This window comes from Homo sapiens, chromosome 7, assembly GCF_000001405.40.
Source record: "Homo sapiens chromosome 7, GRCh38.p14 Primary Assembly".
NCBI lineage: Eukaryota > Metazoa > Chordata > Mammalia > Primates > Hominidae > Homo > Homo sapiens.
The window spans coordinates 78,550,374-78,571,882 of NC_000007.14; the positions used below are offsets into that span (position 1 = coordinate 78,550,374).

The 21,509-nt window shown below is 37.5% G+C and overlaps 1 protein-coding gene across 14 annotated transcripts in view, besides 1 other annotated feature; it reads right to left on the reverse strand.

Annotated features, from left to right (window-relative positions):
* MAGI2 (membrane associated guanylate kinase, WW and PDZ domain containing 2) overlaps positions 1-21,509 on the reverse strand; it is a 1,436,613-nt gene that overhangs the window by 533,319 nt on the left and 881,785 nt on the right. The gene's annotated exons all lie outside the window — the stretch shown is intronic.
* Positions 12,746-13,341: an enhancer, noted in NCBI's record as "OCT4-NANOG hESC enhancer chr7:78192436-78193031 (GRCh37/hg19 assembly coordinates)". NCBI's record gives its function as "activates a minimal SCP1, AML or CMV promoter by ChIP-STARR-seq in naive H9 embryonic stem cells {active_cell/tissue: H9 hESC(naive)}" and the evidence as "EXISTENCE:reporter gene assay evidence [ECO:0000049][PMID:30033119]".

Here is a 21,509-nt window from a genome sequence, read left to right on the forward strand (position 1 = left end):
CGCCAGTACATCAGGTTTGTGCCAGAAAGGATAAGCTTGGACTTAGGATGGCTCAATACACTTCAGAAGCTCAGCCAAGAAAAACAATATTTGTAAAAATTAGGGGAAAGAGACAATCCATATATTCCTCTAGATACTCTAAAATCTACTCCTGGAATAAGCCAGACAGATAGAAGACTGTTAATACCTGGACCTTGGAATACTGACACTCCAGATAAGAGCTTTTACCCAATGGCACTTCTGCATAACTCCACTGGACAAGGTTGAGGACATTTTAAAATAAAAGTTTTGTGATCCTTGATACTGTTTTTTACATTAATGTCATATCCCCTCCATGCAAACTCATGAGAGAATACTGTTAGTGTTGAGCATCCTCTGAACAGTTTTTTTTTTTTTAACTCATGAACATTGTGACTCTTATAGCTAATCATCCTTTCTTAATGACCAATTTCCATAGAGACAAGTTAATGGTTTAGTTTTAGGAATATGTACACTGCACATTGGAATTATACAGAACTTCTTCTAAGCATGCATTTAGTGTGTCTCTTTGTATCTTCTTTTAAAATTGATTTTTTTATTATATGGATCCTTGTAAGCCATCTTAAGTCATTTCAGACTGAAATAGGGGAATAAATTAATAAATAATAATTACTGAGAATAGATTTAGTGAGTTGTAGAAGTTCAGATACCAGTCAAAATATGGGATGCTCACCTATCTTAACTTTATAAATGAAGTTCATTTGATTCCAGATTCACTTTCTCACTGTATCTTAACAATGCTTCCTTGTATAGTACAATTTTTATCATTGACTTAGCCAAATCAGTATATATTAAATCCACCTTGCAGTGTTCATTAGCAAGTTGCATTGTTAATTACTTTAGTGGGTTGTTTAAATGGCTGTGGTTAATTGGGAACACTCTCAAATTTTTTCTGGGCTAATGCATAGCAAGTTTACACTGTTTTTTTGTTTTGCTTTGTTTTGATTTTTGCACTCACATTATAGAAACTTACAGGCCTTGAACACTTCTGAGTCTCTTCCACAAGATTTATTGTCAAGCCAGATGTCTTGCTTTTGCACTATTTCAAGAGATCTTATTGCTTGCTTACTTAAAATGTTCCTCTTTACACTTACTTTGCATCTGAATTATATTCCCAGCATCAGTAATTTGAAAGCCACATACATGAATAATATACCCACTGCATGTCAACCCTGAGAGAAGACAGTTCTGAGGAGACTGTCCTAAGGGGGAAACTTCTAGGCAGGCCCTAAGAGGGTAACTTCTCATCCAGCTGTTGTGCTTGAATTATACGAAAGTTTAAAATAAATTCCAACACGAAGTATAAGTGGCTTTTACCAGTTTGCATTGTTTTGTTTGTTTGTTTGTTTTCAGAGGGTGTCTTGCTTTGTTACCCAGGCTGGAGGGCAGCGGTGCGAACCTGGCTCACTGCAGCCTTGAATTGCTGGGCTCAAGTGATCCTCCCATCTCAGCCTCCTGAGTAGTTGGAACTACAGGAATGCGCCACCACGCCCAGCTAATTTTTGTATTTTTTGTAAAGACAAAGTTTTGCCATGTTGCCCAGATGGGTCTCAAACTCTTGAGCTCAAGCAACTTGCCTGCTTTGGCCTTCCAAAGTGCTGGGATTATAGGCATAAGCCACTGCATCCAGCTCCAGTTTGCATTGTTAATGAAATAAAAGGTCAATATACTTTCAGCAATCTTATTGGGCAATTCGACTTGAAGAAAAACAAACATAAGGTATTTTTAAATAACCATAGACTTTTAGGTAGACATTTGTTTTCCTTTTTTTTTTTTTTTTTTTTTTTTGAGACAGAGTTTAACTCTTCTTGCCCAGGCTGGAGTACAATGGCGCGATCTCAGCTCACCGCAACCTCCACCTCCTGGGTTCAAGCAGTTCTCCTGACTCAGCCTTCCAAGTAGCTGGGATTACAGGCATGCATCACCACGCCTACCTAATTTTGTATTTTTGGTAGAGATGGGGTTTCACCATGTTGGTCAGGCTGGTCTTGAACTCCTGACCTCAGGTGATCTGCCCGCCTCGGCCTCCCAAAGTGCTGGGATTACAGGCGTAAGCCACTGCGCCCGACTATTTTCCTTTTAACTCAGAAATACATTACATGAAAACGTGTAGCCGGCATGATAGTAAAAACAGCCTTATTAAACATTTGTAAAGGTAAAAATGAGAAACTATACAAAGAACTGTATAGTGGTGTGGTGGACAAAAATGGTGTCTGTAGATGCCGTACTGTAAATTGCTTATTTTAAAAACTGCAGGCCTGTGATTCGTCCCAGCTACAATGGACGGACATAGATTACTTGTGTTGTAGCACTACAGAAGGTCAGGGTTGATCCAGCTAGGGTGCCCTGAGCCAAAGAGAAACATGAAGCCAGTTTCTAAGGGGTGAAGCAAGGTTCAAATTCTGGGCATTGCAAATACAAACAACAAATCCAAAGGGCTAGAAACAAGTTCGAAGGCAGAGTACGGGGCCAAAGGTCTAAAACTGAGTAAGGTGGTAGAACGAGAACAAATTGCCCCCCCAAGGTCAGTGAGCTCCAGGCAATTGCTATGGATATGAATGAGAGTTTGTGGCTTTTAAGAGTTGTGGCTAGCATGGAGTGGAGGAAGATGAGATCGTCTTAAAAACTGTAAGAGGCAGAGAAGGAAAATTCAGAAGTTGCCTGTAAAATCAACTTTAAATTAAAAAAAAAAAAAACAAACACCAAAGTGTATTCCAGAGCCCAGATTTGTCCTTTCATAAAAGGGTAACGGCCTAGGTTTTACAAGGTAGCAAAATGCTGTACATTCCCATCTGTTCGCAGTCTTACAATTGTAATATACTTTGACTACATAAGCATTTTCGTAGCTTTATTTTAATGATCACAACCCAGTTAATCATTTAAAAGTTTTCCGTATTACTCTCCACGCTGCCCAAATTTTTCTCATCAATGAAATAAATATGTTTATGGCAAACTGTAAAATGTTGCAGGTCACCTTGGAAATGCAACTGAGTTCTAACAAGAAAATAGTAAGGTAAATGTAACTGTCCTTCAGATAAATACGTGATTTGAAAACCTCTGTCATTAAAGTGTTACTGGTGAAGGAAGACTTGCACTTATACAAACAAAATAAAACCTGCTTTCTTCAAACTTCATCCCCAAGCCTGACAACTCAGACTAAATGATCCCAAGTTAGTTAGATGATTATCTCATTAGAGCTACTGAGTATGAAGCCCCAACAATGTTCTAGACACTGTCCTGGGTGCTAGATACATCCATTAATATGCTCAACAGTTCTGTGACACAAGCGTTTGTGCAGACAAGTAAACCAGAGCTCAGAGAAATCATATTGCCCCAAATCACACAGTTACCAAGTGGCAGGGATAGGATTTGGATTTTGGAATAAATCTGGAGTTTTAATTGTGTCTGCTATGACACATTGCTTCCTATGATATGTATTTGTCCTACTCCAGGAAAATGGAAGGGAGTAGGGCCCGGGGTAGTGGAGGGGAGTCCCAAAAGAAGGAGAGATGTGGGGTGAAGGCCCAACCTGAGTCTGACCTGAAGTGGGATTTGTATTAGGTTATGTCTGCTCCATAAAATCTGTTGGTTATATGTATTTTCCCCCATTTCTAGTTCTAAAAATGTGTTCCCCTTTATTAAAAAACAATGATGAAACAATAACATATCCTTGGAGGAAAATGCATTCTGAGATGCTCTCCAGGAAGTGAAGGTAGATTGGTATTGATTCACTGACCCAAAGTTGGTCTCATAGGTGCTTCCATTTTTGTTAAAATAGGGAAAAATTGGAGAAACCACACTGTCATGATTACACACAGCAAAGCTGTCTGTGAAGTGAGGGTTAACAGTCACCAAGGCTTGTGTAAGCGCTTGTGAAAGTGCTCCATGGGGCTGCAAGCACCATCATGATCTTGGTCACACTTCTGAGCTAATCAAGTTTGAGTCTCATATTTGTGAACCTTACATAAATCTGAAAGTCCATGTGGATCTCCTCATTCTGTCAGTCACACCTCAGAAGATAATTTTCTTTATATGCAGAATTTTAAAAGAACACAAAGCTCTATGCAATAGTGCTGATGGGATTCAGGACACATTACCCCAAAATATAGCACCGTGGCATTTGACAACAGCAGAGACAGGAAGGTCACTCTTACCTTCTTCTCGCCCATCTCCCCGGAAGGCGGCCATAAATCCCAGGAAGAATTTTCTAACCTTCCCCTGAAGCAGGTCATAGGACCCTCATTCAAGAGGTACCCTCCCTACATCCAGAGGAAAAGAACATCCTTATCTCTGAAGACACAGGGTCACAGAGAGGAACTTGAACAGACAGGCTTTGCTAAGTTCTGCCAAGTTATTATCATTAAATCATACCCCCTTTGTCCAATTACATTTTTCCACGACTCTCCCATTTCCATCAAACTTAGCATAAAAATACATAGTTTGGCCGGGCATGGTGGCTCATGTGGGTAATCCCAGCACTTTGGGAAGCTGCGGTGTGAGGGGTGTGAGAATGGCTTGAGCCCAGGAGTTAGAGACCAGCCTGGGCAAGATGGTGAAACCTCATGTCTACAAATTAAAACAAAAAAATTAAAATCAGCCAGGTAAGGCAGCGCAGCCTCAGAAGGCTGAGGTGAGAGGGTTACTTGAGTCCAGGAGGTTGAGGCTGCAGTGAACTATGATCACTGCACTCCAGTCTAGGTGACAGAGTGAGGCACTGTCAGAAATAAATAAATAAATAAATAAATAAATAAATAAATAAATGAATGATAGAGGACGGTTGGATGGATGGATAGATAGATAGATAGATAGACAGATAGATAGATAGATAGATAGATAGGTTTAACTACTTCTTGGGACTTTGTTTCCTTATGAAGGCTTCCATGTCACATAAAACTCAACCAGGGACCCTAAGAGGGTGGAGGAATATCTTTCATTCCTTTTAGTACAAACAGGCCCAAGTACATATCAAATTTAGTTTCATATGTAGATGATAAAATATCAGAAATTTCATATGAGATATATGGACACATATAAAAAAACTATTCTGGCTGCAAAAGTTTGTGGGCATAAAGCTGCAATAAGAAAAGTGATAATATAATGAATTATTATGAAATAAAGATATTACAAAATTAAACTAGCCCCAATTAAGCACAACTATGGCAATGATAATGAAGTTATTTCTGAAGGCTTATTGTCTGCACTTGGGAACTGAGTTTATATTACCTATTTATGTTGCTACCTGCTGATAAAACCACAACACATCATTATTTATAGGGTGCTAAAGGAAAAAAGCTTACCATTACCACATTTGAGAAAGTCAATAAACATTTTTCATGGATGGATTTTAGTCAATGACTACACTTAGATTGAGCATTTTAAAGTACTCAGCCCAAAGATGTGTTTATCTAAACACTCATTTCTAACTGCATGTTTCTATTGCATTTATATATTTTACAACCTCCACTCTTACCACTAACCACTACTGGGTGGACTGAAGTCTCAAATACTAAAAGCACATAATAATGCAAAATGTTTTGAGAAGAGTATTGCAATAAAAATCAGTAAAGCTATTACCATGTTTAAAAAAGAAAATCTAGTAACTATTAAAGGCCTTAAATTCAATATATGTTAGCATATCTGGAAAGCTCTTCAATCATAATGCCCTATATTTGCTTACCAGTTTATATTTTTCCAAAAAGTATATATATATATGATAGCTTATATTATGCCTCACAGGAAGCCAGAGTAAGAGGCACAGAAGATAATAATCTTGTCACATGAAACATGGATAAATCGAATCTCAGTGAGATTGAATGACTTACAGGGGTCAACTTATGGTTAGGGGCAAAACAGGGTGGGACATAAATGTCACTCTTCTGATACCTTTGCCCAGGGCCATGTGCACTTTGCTGACAAACTTGTCCCAATAGTCACCAAACATACTGGTTTGGGAAGTGTGTGAAGTCTCCTGTTGGCACCAACATGGGCTGATTTCACAGGCTTCAGGACTGGATTCATCCGTTTACTTATGGGAACTGCATATCTTCATATCCTGAAGTTGTGATGACAACTCTAAAATGTTTGCAATGGAAGCTTAAAAGAACCTTGTAGGAAGATGCAGACTAAAATGGGAGCACTTGAGGGAATGAGGAGAGTATGTGAAGCAATACCCTCTCTATCTATAGGTGAGAAGAGCCCTGGGGATGAAGTTGTCTAGAACCAATGCTAAGAACAAGCAACCGTTTTGCTCACTATTGTCTAAGTATCTTCACATATTCCCATTTCCATGCCCTTCTCAAGCTTTCCCCTTACAGAAACACACTCCCTTCTCTTTCCTGTGTGAAAGCCACACTTCCTCTTTTGGAATCCTCCACTTAAAGAATTGTGGGTTTGCCGCCGGGCATGGTGGCTCACGCCTGTAATCCCAGCACTTTGGGAGGCTGAGGCGGGCAGATCATGAGGTCAGGAGATCAAGACCATCCTGGCTAACATGGTGAAACCCCGTCTCTACTAAAAATAAAAAAAAAAATTAGCTGGGCATGGTGGCAGGTGCCTGTAGTCCCAGCTACTCAGGAGGCTGAGGCAGAAGAATGGTGTTAATCGGGCAGATGGAGCTTGCAGTGAGCTGAGATAGTGCCACTATACTCCAGCCTGGGTGGCAGAGTCTCAAAAAAAAAAAAAAAAAAAAGAAAAAGAAAAAAAAAGAATTTCACAGGTGAGGAAACTGAGGCTAGAAGATTTTAATTTGCCCAAGTACACACAAAATAAGATTTTGGTTTCCTAACTCAGTGATGTGAGTTTTACCCTCTGTACTGAATTGCCAATTTCTGCATTCATCTTTCCTTTTACAATTAGTTATATTTCCATATGTACTGTATATATCTTGCCAGAACAACAAAATTGGAAGCCCCCCAAAGGAGCCAGTTAGCATTGTTGTATTCTCCTTCCAAGACCTGGTACCATTTCCTGCTCATGACCTGGTGAGCTGAAATGCTAACAAAAGGCTGCCTTTCTTCCAGAGCAATTTTAGAGAGAAGGAATTTTTTGGCTATTCCCTTCCCCATCTTACTTAGAAGTATTCCCTAGTCTTTGGGTATCTGGCCCTCTAGCCAAGTGATGGTACTATGAAACACATATGGAGGCTCCCAGGGCTTCTCCACTCTTCTAGCAAGCTCCTGACCCACTACTATGAAACAGGATGCTGACTTACAAAAACTAGAGCGAAAACTAGAGGAATGTCACTACCCAGAAATACTTTCTAGAAGGTCAGTGACAACCCCATAGATATGGAACAAAAGTTTTCTTGTTACAGCCCTCCAAGGAACAAGCAGTAATAAAGGTTTTTCTTTTTCTCCTCTTAAAAATTAATAATCCATTTCAGAGCGGATTTCAGTGTAATCAGAGGTACAGTTTTTGCTTATTGATTATTTAAAATACAATTGAACATGTACATGTAAGAAAAGGATTTCAAACTTAGAGCACAAATGTCATCTCTATAAAGTCATCCTGGCTACTCTAGGTGGCCTCTCTCTACTGATCCTCTTTAGTACTTTATTGGAACTCTTTTTTTTTTTTAAAAAATAGTTGATTGTGTATGTGACTAAATTCTCCTACTTAAATATAAATATTTTGAGTGTTCTATTCTCATTTGATTTTCTCCTCTAAGATCATGGTGTGTGATAAATCCTTAATATATATCAATTGAATACAAATAAAATAATCAGAGTTGGCAATTATCTGATGTTATGAAGTTGCTATGAAATAAACAAAGTTTCTCACTTTTAATATATTTATGTATTCCCATTTAAGGTGAAACAGAGAACAAAGAAAGAGACAAACGTTAATTTAAAAAGAAACGTGGGTCTTCTGCTAGCAAAGTGTGCTAAATCAGTGTGTGAGATCTCAGCTGATTCACTGTGGTTCAAATTCACAGTAGCAAGAAAGGAAAGTAAGAGTTTTTATTTTGATCTTAAGTATTCCTTTAGTATTATTCATGATGACAATCTCTTTCCTAAAAAAGTAATAATTTCTAAATTTCCAAAAAAGAAGAATGAAACTTAAGATTCACTTTTGAAGCTATTTCTAAAATAAGGTGCTTTTAGAAACATGAGGCAGTGAAAATGGTTACTTTTGACTCTGCAAGGTGTTAGTAACATTGAAACTAACCTAAAGCCCTAGCCCAGGAGGCCAAAATGTAGGTTCTGTGATAATTTACAACCCTCCATCCTTCAGTTTCTTCACTGCCTTTTTGGGTCCTTATAATCACCTAAGAGGTCATATGATAAAATGACATTCTCACAAGTGTGACAGTAATTGTAATAGTCCCAGCTGTGACTTGGTCTCAATAACTATTCAGTTGGCCCACGTGAGGGTGATCATACAGTGCTTTTGCAGCTATTCTAACAATGGATCCTTTGAGACACCGTTTTTTTTTTTTTTTTTTTCTTGCAAAGCCTTGTAGTCAACACACCAGGATGACTTTAAAGTGCCATTTATTTAATAATCGAGGTCATGTGCAGGGTGCTATTTTACAGTCACTTAAATATACATGAGACTAATTTTAAATTTCAGGAACCCAATTTCATTTTTGCATCTTAACAAAATGTACAGTGTTCTCTGGTAATAGAGGAAAGGCTTCTATGTGTCCCTAAGTTATTACCCAGAATATATGCATGATTACAATCATTACGACTCTACTTTTAGGAGCTTGCAATCTGAATTTCCAAAAAAAAAAAAAAAAAAAAAAAAAAAAAAAGCCAAAAAGAAAAGAAAAGAAAAGAAAAGAAAAACAATAGTGGGGCTCAAGAGAAAGAAATTCCTTTCAGGTTTTTTTTTTTTTTTCCAGTTGTAAAGATTTATAGGTGTATTTTGGACTTTCTTCTCACTACCCCTTGGTTGACTTGTGTATTAAAGAGTTTGCTATCTATTTTGAAACTACTGTATTAACAAATTCCTCACACTTTGGGAAGAAATAAGAAAAATGAAAAGGGTCAATAATAGGTACATAACTCAGAAAAGATTAGTTTGTTATAAGCAATGGTATTTTCTGTGGAGCTCATTTAAAGCAGTTAGTGATTTTGTAAATTTGATATTAATGAGTATAAAGAATTATCAAAGGGCATGTACTATTTGGTCTTATATTAAATATTTCCCATGCCGATGCTCGTGAGTATTAAGCTTAAAATTGTCCTGCTGAAAGGGAACCCACAGAGTAGAAAAAATACCCGAGAATCAGAGTGCTGGCTTAAAGTCCTATATTCTCCTCTACACTGAGCTTTTGTTGTGATTCATTTTTTCTGTGCCTCCATTTCTTCATCTACAAAATATATGTGACTTTATACTCATAGTCACATCCCTGCCTTGAGAAGTGTTTAATTTTTGATAAAACTGATATGGATAATTCATTCAAGTTTTATATACATACAAACATGTATGTGTGTGTGTACACATATATTTGCCACCCACTGTCACACCTGGGCAACTTCAATATTGGAAAACAGTCCTACAAGGAAGAAAATGAGAAAAGAATAAGAAAAAATAGGGACTAAAGTAGAGAAAGAATAAATAAAGGTATCTACATGGGGACTTACAGACAAAAGGAAATATTCACCAAAGGCATGCAGCTTGAAGGATGACAAAAGAAAAAAATATTACATGTTCCATGCCCACACAAAGCAGGGACAAACAAGGGAATTATGAGTGTGAGAAGGTTGAAGTTGAGAAAAAATTTACTGAGAGGAAGAAAGGAAAATGAAGATCCACATTAATAATTGAACTTGAGACAGAGATATTAAAATCAGCAAACAGATTTAGATGGGGTTAGGACTATACATTCATTTTCAACATGGTGAGTTTGAAGTGACAGCAGAATATTCATGCACAGATGTCCAACTGACATTTGGACAGTTGGGACTGAAGTTCAAAAGAGAGGTGAGAGTTACAGATTGGTTTTGAGGAGTATTCTGGAGGTGATAATTGAAGCCATGAAAGTGGATAGAGTTTCCAAGGGAGAATGAATAAAATAGCATGGAAAAATGTCAGATCTGATGTGGCAAAACGTAATCATTGGAACACTTAAATTATCATCTTCTAAGATAATTTATGATGTAAACGTTAATCTAAATACTTTAAAATTTTTTTAAAATTATGTTTAAAAACATGCAAAAAATTATTTTGTAGTTTCAAAAGACAGGTGTTACAGAAATTGAACCTTTATTTTTATGAGAGCATCAACAATAATATACAACTAGAAATTATTTGTGGGCTTCAGCGGTAGGCAGAGCTGGGTTTGAATTTCTGTTCTTCCCTTTGATAGCCTTTTGTCTGCTTTCTGATAGCATGCTCTTAACCATTACACAATCATCCTGCTCTTATAAAGCTGGATTATCTGCTGAGAGCATCAGGAATTGACATCTAGGATAATGAGAGAAGGCTGATCATGGACAACATATAGCCTTTCTAGTAGATGCAGCTGAGGCATAGCTCAGGATTTATAAAGATTTTAGGTTGCATCAACCTGGAACTTTCTCAGGCATTATACACTCAGGTGTCCTAGAGAAAGGTAGAGGTGGTAATTTGTAGTTGGTGATCTTGGGTAGGTGTTGCAGAAAAATAGAGGAGCAATGTTGGAACAGGGATTCACAGAGGTGTAGCAAAAACTTAGAAAGCAGTGATACGCATAAAATCTTTGGAGTAAATGAACACACACGTGTCAGGATTAATAGAAGGAAAAGAGACAAGAAGCAGACAAACTAGGAAGATACTGAGATCAAGAGCTGGAGGTCTCTGTGAAATGGGAAAGAAGGGATGGTAGGTAGGTGTGGGCTCACGAGACAGATGAATTAGTGTTTGTTCTAGCAAGTACAAGATTCTGGGCAGGTGAGTAGGTAGTTGAAATAGAATGGCCAATGGAGTTAAATAGCTTAGTAACTGTGAGACTAGATTATTTGTCAGGTCACTTATATGCATGTTGAAATATAGGTTAGCATGAAAGAAGACTACAATTTAGCCTCCAAAGTTTTCAGTCACAAAGAGAGTGATCAGAAGGCAGGTGACAGCGAGAGATAGATGACAGTGAAAACAAGTATCATATTAAGTTGGTGCAAAAGTAATTGTGGTTTTTGCAATTAAAAGTAATGGCAAAAATAGAATTAGGAAAGAAGACTTTAGACCAAGGTGGAAGACTAATGCCTAGAAGAAGTGGGGAGGTCTCCTGATCTGACATCAGGGTTGTGGGGTTTGAGAGAACGAGCTGCCTCTTTTTGGAATGAATGAATGAAGCAGCAGCACCCTCAGGGGTTGGGCAGATTTCAACCAACGCAGGAAGCAAAGAGGTCATTGTCTGAATTATTAACTAAGAAACATGTATCTGGGGGATGGCAGGAAAGGTTGCAGGGGATAGGCTAAAGTAAGAATGAAGTAGCCTTAGAAAAGTAAGGGCACGAAGGTATAAGTGAGTTAGGAGGGAGAAAGCTATGGATGGTGTAGGATTTGGGGCAGCTGATAGAAAACCACAAGGAGGAGAGGCCTGCTGTCTCAAATACCATAGCATGCTCACATGCTTCAGGACACACCTGCTCCCCTCTCTGGGAAGTAGTAATGACCATGATGAAGTTTGTGAAAGATTCACAAACGCTCTATTAGGGTACATGCTTCCATGGAGTTCACAGAAGGGAAGGAAGAGACCCAGTTGGGATGTGGCAGTGATGTACATAAAGATGTTCCATGTTACTGAGAATTACATGTACACATTCTACATTTTTCCTACTTAAAAAAATCATCACTATGAGAGCATTAAAAGGAGTGTTTAAAGTGAGTGTTATTTGTATTAACTTTTCTTGTTTTATTAATTTGTGTTCCTTCTTCATTCACTCCCTATTCCTGATGTTATGTGTCTTTCTGTAGCAGACTCAATGTGGCACAGATGTCCTATACACTGTAGTAGAAAGGAAATGGTTTCCTTAGCAACAATAACCACACAAAAGCCAGCAGAATTTTCTTTGCTGCTCATGTGCCATTTTCACAGTTTAAAGAATCCAAACAGTAGGAAAGAATAATAAACATCTGATTGGAACATATTGCAATGGAGACATATAGAATGAATGCAAAAAGGCATCTGCTATTTATAAACAGTTGATGGTGATTTTAAGTGACCCAAACTTAATCATCATGATTCATTCTTTTTCTCAGTGAAACAGGTAAAAAATCATACTATATCTAGTTGAGTGGAGTGAAATATACTCCTTCAAGATACTTTCACTGTCACTGAAATCTGATAATTGTAAATACGTTTTTGAGCCACTACAAGATAATGTCCTGGGCAATAATTGGATGTGTGCTAGGCAGAGAAAGATTTGTTTTGTTGTTCAAAGAGAGCCTCCATGAATTTACTGTTCCTAACTGCATCTCCCTAGAAGGGATTCTTGGGATTTATGTCTCTTCTAGTCTTCTGCTACTGAATTTTTGCTTTGCACCTTCCCATTTTAGCAGTTCTAAAGTGAAGCTTGAAGGCCCCATAATTATGTATGAAAATACATTCACTTTCCCCTCCATCTCTTTGTCTCTTTGTGAGTTTCTTTTTTGTTGTTTTTTTTTTTTAATGAGTGGTCATTTGATTGTAATTTCTTGCCAGAAAGTTCGCCTGCTGACAACATGGTAGTAATGGTAATAAGAGCCTGGTAAAGAAAAACAGAATTTGCAAATATGTGCAATTATTATAAATTGGTAGGAATGTTTTTAAAGTCTCTATTAAAGTCCTAATGTCCTGCTGAGCCATCCTTGCAAGATGACAGGGCACAACTGAAAAGGTTTTATAATTTGAAAGAGGAAAAATTCAAAGATGATTGCTAAAAATGCAAGACAATTACTAGCTTGGGGAAATTTTATTTGGGCTACTGAAAGGACTGCTTCGCAGAGACCATGGGGGCTGCATTCAATGCTCAAAGGTCACCTGGGGCAGCATGCACCTTCCCGTGCCTGGCTACAGTGATGATTAGTGGTCTCCTCAAGCACTTGGCCATTAGCTTTATGATGCAAAGCCACATTGATTCTAGGATTACGAGTTTTTGGAAACCAGGAGTGTGAAAAACGACAGACGAGAGCCACTCAAGAGATTCAGGAAATGAGCCAGAGCTGAGGTCCTAAACAGAAATTAACTCAGTGCCATATGACCCCAGTCATCCACAGCCATGTTTTAAATCCCCTGGCAGATGACTTTTCTAAGAGGCAATCCTAAGAGCTATGATAAATTCTGTTGGTAGAAGTAGTTGGTGCTGCTTCAAAGACAAAATGCCCATGTGCTTTTCCATATCACACCTTACAAATAAAAATACCCAATGCCTATGTCAAGTCCAATCTCCACAGGTTCAGAGTTACTGGAAAGAGAGTATCCAATGAACAAGATTATAGTCAAAATATTACGCACTAACGTTATCAAAATCAATCCATAGTATCTTATCACAAATATAGTGTTTGAGACTGCAAACAAGTCTAGGAAGTCTGTAAGACTCTTAAATTCTATTTAATTTGAGGCCTAAATTAAATTGGATTAGATCAAAGTCATATTTGAATAGGTATTTTTTTTAAGTTGCTAACACATATTACACAGAACATGATTAATTTCTATGATAAAAGGGAAACTGTAAATTTTCAAATTTTGTAGGTATGGGAGACACATCAACTCTAAAAGATCACAACCAAATATGCTGTACCACGCCAAGGTTAATTGAGCAGGTAAGGATAACTGTGGAAGAATCCCGCACAACTGCCTCATAATCTGACTGGGTGCTCTTCTGGGGAGTGAGGCTAGGCTCATGGATACCAGCTTTAATGTTATTCTGCTCAGCGTTTTAGTATTATAGGCATTAATCTGATTTAATCTGTCACCTTGGATCAACCCTGAGCGTCAACACTTCACAATTAATATATTAAAATATAAGAAAAACATTCTGCTTTAGATTAATTTCATAACCACTAAATACTTGTACATTTTTGTGGTGATGCCAGGAATCTGAAGTCTGCTCAATGATCCACTTATTTATCAACTTCAATGCTGACAAAGTTTCAGGTTAGCAAAGAAAGTTAGATAATTTTTGAAGTTATTTGCAAGTAAATTTATTACTTTTTGATTATAATAAGGTTTTTAACGTAAGGAGTTAGGAGCCATAGTCTTTATTGTCACCAAAAGCCTTAACTGTCGTCTCTTATATAACTGTGATTAGAAAATGACCTCAAAATATGTTACCCTCTGTCTATACAACCTTAAATATTCAGTTAAAGCATATGGGTTTGGCGATCATTTAGCTCTGAATTCCAAGTATAACATTAATGTTCAGTCCAGGGCAAGTTACTTCATCTCATCTCTTTGACATTCTTTTTTTTTTTTTTTTTTTTTTTTTTTTGAGACGGAGTCTTGCTCTGTGGCCCAGGCTGGAGTGCAGTGGCAGGATCTCTGCTCACTGCAAGCTCCGCCTCCCGGGTTCAGGCCATTCTCCTGCCTGAGCCTCCCGAGCTGCTGGGACTACAGGCACCCGCCACCACGCCCAGCTAATTTTTTGTGTTTTTAGTAGAGACGGGGTTTCATCGTGTTAGCCAGGATGGTCTTGATCTCCTGACCTTGTGATCCGTCTGCCTCAGCCTTCCAAAGTGCTGGGATTACAGGTGTGAGCACCGCGCCCGGCCTCCTTGACCTTCTTTTCTTCAACAATAAAATGGTTATGGTAATACTTAACTTGTAGAATTGATATAATGGTTAAATTTTAAAAATTAGCACCAGGCACGGTGGCTTGCACCTGTAATCCCAGCTACTCAGGAAGCTGAGGCAGGAGGATCACTTGAGGCCAGGAGTCCAAGACCAGCCTGGGCAAAATAGCGAGACCCTGTGTCAAAAAAAATTTTTTTAAAAATTAGTGGGGCATGGTGGCATGCTCCTGTAGTCCTAGCTACTTGGGAGGCTGAAGTAGGAGGATCGTTTGAGCCCAAGATTTCGATGTTACAGTGAGCCATGATTACACTATTGCACTCATGGTCTCAGTGACAGAGTGAGACCCCATCTCTAAAACGCTAAAAAAAAAAAAAAGATAAGAATTAATATATGTAAGATGTTCAAAAATGTCTGGCCTATACTGAGCACTTAATAACTGTTCATCTAGGTTATTTTCAAATACTTTTAAAAAAATCACACCATTAAAACACGTAAGATTAAATAAAACATTTGCTTTTCGTTTTCTTGTCATAGACAACACAGCCTTACTATTGGCCTTACTTCAGAAATTTCCCAAATTTTCTCCATTTTTCAGCTCATGGCACGACTAATATACTTTATTCTAGTCCTGCAAGACTCTTACTGACAAAGAAGCATCATTTAGTACTTTCCAATTTTGAATTAAGAAAAATGGAAAATGACACATTTATTTCTTCATGCAGTCAAATAGCATTTAGGAAGCAGCTGAGTACCTGAAAATGGCAATAATTTTGGCATCCCGGGCTGCCACACATTAGTTCTGGGGTGCGGGTAGATCATTAAACCTCCCTGCCTCGGTTTAGTCATCTGTAAAATGAGGATAATGCTTGGGCTGGGTGCTGCAGAGAACAGTGTGTAAAGATAACTATTCCAGGAAGCAATCATCAGGCTGAAAATGAGCTGACATTTGGGTTGGTGCTTTCAAGGAGCAGGGGAATTGAGAAAGTCAGAGGTGTGAGATGGCCCCGTTGATGACATCTCTTGGAAGTCGTTCCTTTATCTTATGCCTCACAGAACCATGTGAGCAAAGGCATGGAGTTGGGAAAGCTGAGAGCGTGCTCAGGAAATGGGAAGAGGGAAAGACCAATTTTCCTGAACATTCAATGTGAAATAGAGAGTGGAGTAAGAGAAGGCTGGAACAGATCCTGAACGGTGGAAGGATGCTGAGGGCCTTGAAAATCTGAGAATTCTATTTTTTAAAGTGTGAGAAAGGCATGGAGGTGAGAATGGCGGTTGGAACAGGAAGAAGAAAAATGCTTGAAAAATATGCCAACAAGATTGATCTGACCCTAATAAAGGACTGAATTTCACTGGTGAGAGAGTGCTAACAAAGCAATCTATCCAGGATGATGAAAGACAGGGCTATCAACAGACACAGTTTAAAAAAAAAAAAAAAAACAGAGGAAAACCAAGGTTCAAATGGATTTGTCCTCCAGGTACATACTCAGAGGTCAGGAGAAAGGAGATGCTTACATTAGCAAGCTATGTGTAGTAAAATCTATCAATATATAATACCATGAATACTTTCATTGTCCTAACACTTTATTGAGAGGTTCCATCAGATAACTTACTCTTTTCAATCCTTATCTTTTCTTCTATAATTTCAGTACCATAGCTGATTTTAAAATAGTAGCTTTCCTCATTGATAATAATATATAAAACTATTATTTATAGCATCAAGGCCTAAAAAAATTCATGTAATCAGCCTGAGAATTGAAAAACTATAGCCTAATGCCTAAATCACAGGCTGAGATTTTATTCTGCTTCTGTCATAGATTTCCTATTTTAGATATGGAAAGTAATCAACTCTGAGCTCATGTCTCCTTTTTACAATATGAGGTTTTAAAGTTTGACTTACTAGCAAACATGCAGTTTACAATATTAAAATGAAACTGATATAAAATTTGAGAAAACACATAGTTTACAAAAACAAAGAAACTTTGTCCCCGTTATTGTCCCCATTATTCTAATATACTAAATAATTAACTCTTTTGAAAAAGTAAATTCATAGTTGATAGGAAACCTTGACATTCAAGTTTTTAATTGCTGTACTTTTCTTCTATTTCTCCTCTTATTTACCATTTCAGAAGAGAGGAACTACAAACCAGGCTCTTGAAAAATCAGAATTCAAATGGAATTGCTCTATTCCAAGTAATAACTGAATCTGACACACAAAAAAAGATGCAGCCATACCTTCCAAATACCTTGAAATCCTCAATAACAAAAGAGAGCCTACACACTACACACACACACACACACACACACACAACCGCAATGCATGACAAATGAGTGACTTTTTTTCTCTCACACAGACAGAAATATTTCTGGCTTAATTGGTAGCTTTTGTATCAACTACCCAGTAGGATACATAGATGTAGAGGAAAAGAAATCAGAGAAAACCAATCCTTTAATTAGCTTGCACCTATATGTACAAGAATAAACATTTTGTAGATGTTCCTGACCTCCAGCTTCCTTCTCTCTCTCCCCTACTCAATAACATCACTCCTGCAGTGGCTGCTCTTTCCCCTGCATCGCCAGTTTTCCTCTCTTTACTGGATCATTTCAATCACATATACATACGCTAGAATATCTCCAATCATTAAAACAAAACACAACAAAAACCTATTTTCACCCCCCATCTCCCAACAAATACCCAATTCTCTGCTTCCTCTATGGTAAAACTCCCTATGGGAAGTCCACACTCAGCTTTCTCTAATTCTTTTCTTTAGATCATTTTCAAAACTCACTCCAATCAGGCATTTGTCCACACCATTACATTTCTCTTGTCCTATTTACCAAGACATCCACATTGCAAATCCAGGGGTCCTTTCTCAGTCTTCGTCTTAGCTGAGCTGTGAACAGCATTTGAAACAGCTGGTAAGTTTCTTAAAACACTTTCTTCAGTTAATTTCTACAAACGCACACACTCCTTGTCTTCTTACTTCACTTGTTAATCCTTTTTGGTTTCTTTTTCTGGCTTCTTCTCTTCTCTCCAAACTCTAAATGTTTAAGTTCTAAATGTTTAAATCTGAGGATTGGTCTTTAGACTACTTCACTTCTCTATCTATACTCATTTCCTATATGAAGTCATTCAGTCTTATGGATTTAAATACCATCTAGAATCTAACAGCTTTCAAATTTATGTCCCTAGCTCCAAGCTCTGCACTGGACTCCAGATTCATGTATCCAGCTGCAGATCCACACCTGAATGTGGACGTCTCACAGTCATCTCAAGCTTTGCATGCTCCACCCAGAACATTTGATTTTGCATTTCGCCTCCTAACCTGCCCATCCTACAGTGTTCTCCTCCCTAAATAGTAACTTTATTCCATGAGTTGATCAAGCCCCAAATCTTGGAGTCATCTTTCATGTATTTTCTTTTGCTTACACCTCTTATCCGGTTTTATTAGTAATTCTGTCATTGTATTTTTAAAACATAACCTATGACCACTTCTCAGTGGTTCCACAACCAGCTTCTGAACAAGTTACCACACGACTGCTTCCTCGCCAGTCTCTCTGCTTCCACTATCGTCCCCACTCCCTAGTCCAGTCTCCACACAGAAGCAAGAGTGAGGCTTTAAAATGTTGTACATATAAATGCATACAATCTGTGTTTGTAAATTATGCCTTAATAAAGCTGAAAAAAAAACATGTAAGTCAGATCAGTTACGTGCATGCTCAAAACTCTCCAAAGTGTTCCAGAGCCCAAGTCCTTGCTGGGTTCTGAGTCTCTCTTTTATTTCCTGCTCCAGGCAGCCTGACTTCCTTGCTATTCCTTGACCGTTCTGCACATGCTCTTCCCTCAGGCCCTTTCACTTGCTGTTTGCCCTAAATTCATTTTGCCCCCGACACCTGCTTGGTCACTCCTTCACTTTCTTCAGGATTCTGCTCAGATATCTTGTTATCAGAGAGGTCTTCCCTGACCATGCACCGTGACCACAGTAGGTGACCCCTGCCACATATGTGCATGCCAACACACACACACACACACACACGTCACTATTCCTTTGCTTTATTTTCTTAAGAGCCCTTATCGCCACCTGACATTTGTTTTTTGTTCATTTATTCATTTATTTATATAGTGTTTCATTTCTTACATCCATAAAATACAAGCTTTATGAGATCAATAACTTTTTCTGTTCTGTTAAAACATATTCTGAGGGCATAGTACATGGTTAAGGAATAAATGAATGAATAATACTTGAATGGATCACATGTTCCCATATTTCACTTGAATTTGCTACATGCATGTGCAAGGACACACAGACACGCTAAACACCCCACACTAATGGCAAGCCATCTCTAGCTTCAAAATGCACGTTATATATCTAGGCATATGGAAACTCAGACTTTCTTTTGGTAGATTTGTTTTAATTTAAGTCCTGCCCAATATCACTTGCGTTTAAGAAAACAATTTTCTGGCAAAAAGGAAAGAAAAAAAAGTAAAACATTAAATCATTCCAACAGTAATATTTAAAAAAAATAAAATTTAAAACTTTTTACTTATTCAAACGATTATTTTTGTGCATGCAAAAAATTACACAATTATTAAGCATACAATTTGACACATTTTCACAAAGGAAACACCCACATGAAAACATAGAATTTTATTAAAATCTCAGAAGTCTCCTCCTGATCTAGTCATTATGGCCTACCCAAGGTAACCACTATGTTGATTCCTGCCACCACTGATCACTTTCATCATTTAAAATCTTAAACTTTAATAAACGGTATTATCCAGTACGTAATCTTTTTGCCTGAATGTTTTTGCTCAGCAATTTGTTTTTGATATGATTCTTTGTTTTTGTGGATAGTAATGTTTTCATTGTTCTCATTGCTACAGAGTATTCTATTGCTTAGATATTTCACTGTTTTTAATTCTTTTGTCAATGGATATTTGGCTTATTTTCACTTCATAACTATTAAGACAGAGTTGCTATACCCACTCTTGTACACGTCCTTTGGTGAACAGATATGTACATATTCCAACAGGGTAGAGTGGAATAGCCAGCTCACAGGGTAGACATATGTTCAGCTTTAGGAGATATTGCCAAACAAGTCTTCAACGTGTTTCTACAGTTTATCTTTTGGTAATTAATTCTTGTCCAATTTGCTAAAATCTGGACTCTGCTACCTCTAAGTAGATCTTGTAAATATGATTGAAACATTAAAAACTGCTTATTGATTTTATATTTAAAATCATCTAGACAGACCAGGGTTCCTAAAGTAGCGTGGGGAACATTAATTCTTAAGATAATAAATGGAATGAAGGAAGTGGGGAAGAGAAGAGAGAAAGTAAGTTTCATGGCCAAATAAAATGGGGAAGCAGGACGAATCAAGTAAAAGAACAGCCTTTAATGCAAGTTCTCAGATCTGCTAATATCTGCTGTGCATTGACAGTGACAGGGGGTGGGACTACAGCATGCAGTTCTGTGATAGGAACATGATAAAAACCTTTTTTTTCCTCACAGAGTATCTTGTAGGGCTATGGTTCCACAAAATTTACTTTGAGAAATGCTGGGCAAGAAAATTTGCTCAGTGATTACCAGGAATATCCGTAATCCTTAAAAATTGCTCCAACTGAAGCATTAGCAGCATGTAAAATGCAATAAAGTGCTTTGTTCCAGATTATATATTTCTGTGCTTCTTTGTTTTGATTTCATCCACCTTTGAGTTCATTTTTCCATTGTTCTGTGCCCTAAATACATTAACAAATTCAATGTCTGTGATGGTTCTTAGTTCTTGACATTGCAAGTCTAGCTGTAACAATTCAATATTGATCTCTTCTTTTTAAGTGAGTATTCTGAGGCTGGAGCAAAATTAGGTTACTTAAGATTGCACATATTTTAGCTTGAGTAAATAAAATTGCTCAAGTTTTTATCATATATTCATCTATAGGCTGGCTTTACAATCAGTGTTATCTCCTCGAAGTGAAATGCTCTCTGTCATGTTGATTTAGTTTAAATAAACTTGTTTCCCTGGTGTGTATTGGAATTATCATCACCTTCATTCTCCAACATGCAAATTATAAAGAAGCCTCTTAAGTTTCCTGTAGAATAGCATTACATTTGAGAAAGAGAGAATAATCTAATCAAATGTGAACTCCTGGATCTCATTCTTATCATTAAGAAAAGAATGACTAGGGAATGGGGCCTCTTTGGCTCCTGTTCTCAGTTAACTTGAATTCAATGTAATACCCTTTGGAATGAATATTGGATTTCAATAAAGAACATTTGGGGAATATGAAACTCAGAAAGCAATGACAGCATCCAAATTTATGACGGCTCAAAGATGCTTGAAATAGCAATTTATGCCAGATCAAATACCATTTCAATGGGTTGTAGGCTACTGGGGAAAAGTGTTTATAGAACATCTTATATCTGCAAAGTACTTTCAGTCATTTTTAATAGTCATGTTGGATGGATGGTTATAATTTCAGGTGACAAGGACAACTCAGTGAGACAACTGACATTCAACAGATTTTATGGAAAATTAAATTATCTTGAAATGTTAGGTTTGATCATGGAAATAACAGCAATAATAAAGAGAAAGAAAAATAGGAGGAAGAAAAAGAAAAAGTGGAAGAAAAATGAGTATGAGAAAGCAATGATAATTGTTGATATTAAAATTACAATTTGTGCTTTGTCTAATGAGTTAGTTTCTAGCCTCAAACATCTGGTATCAAAAGCAAGACCTGGAAATTTTTCTAAGAATAGAATATTTTTCATAG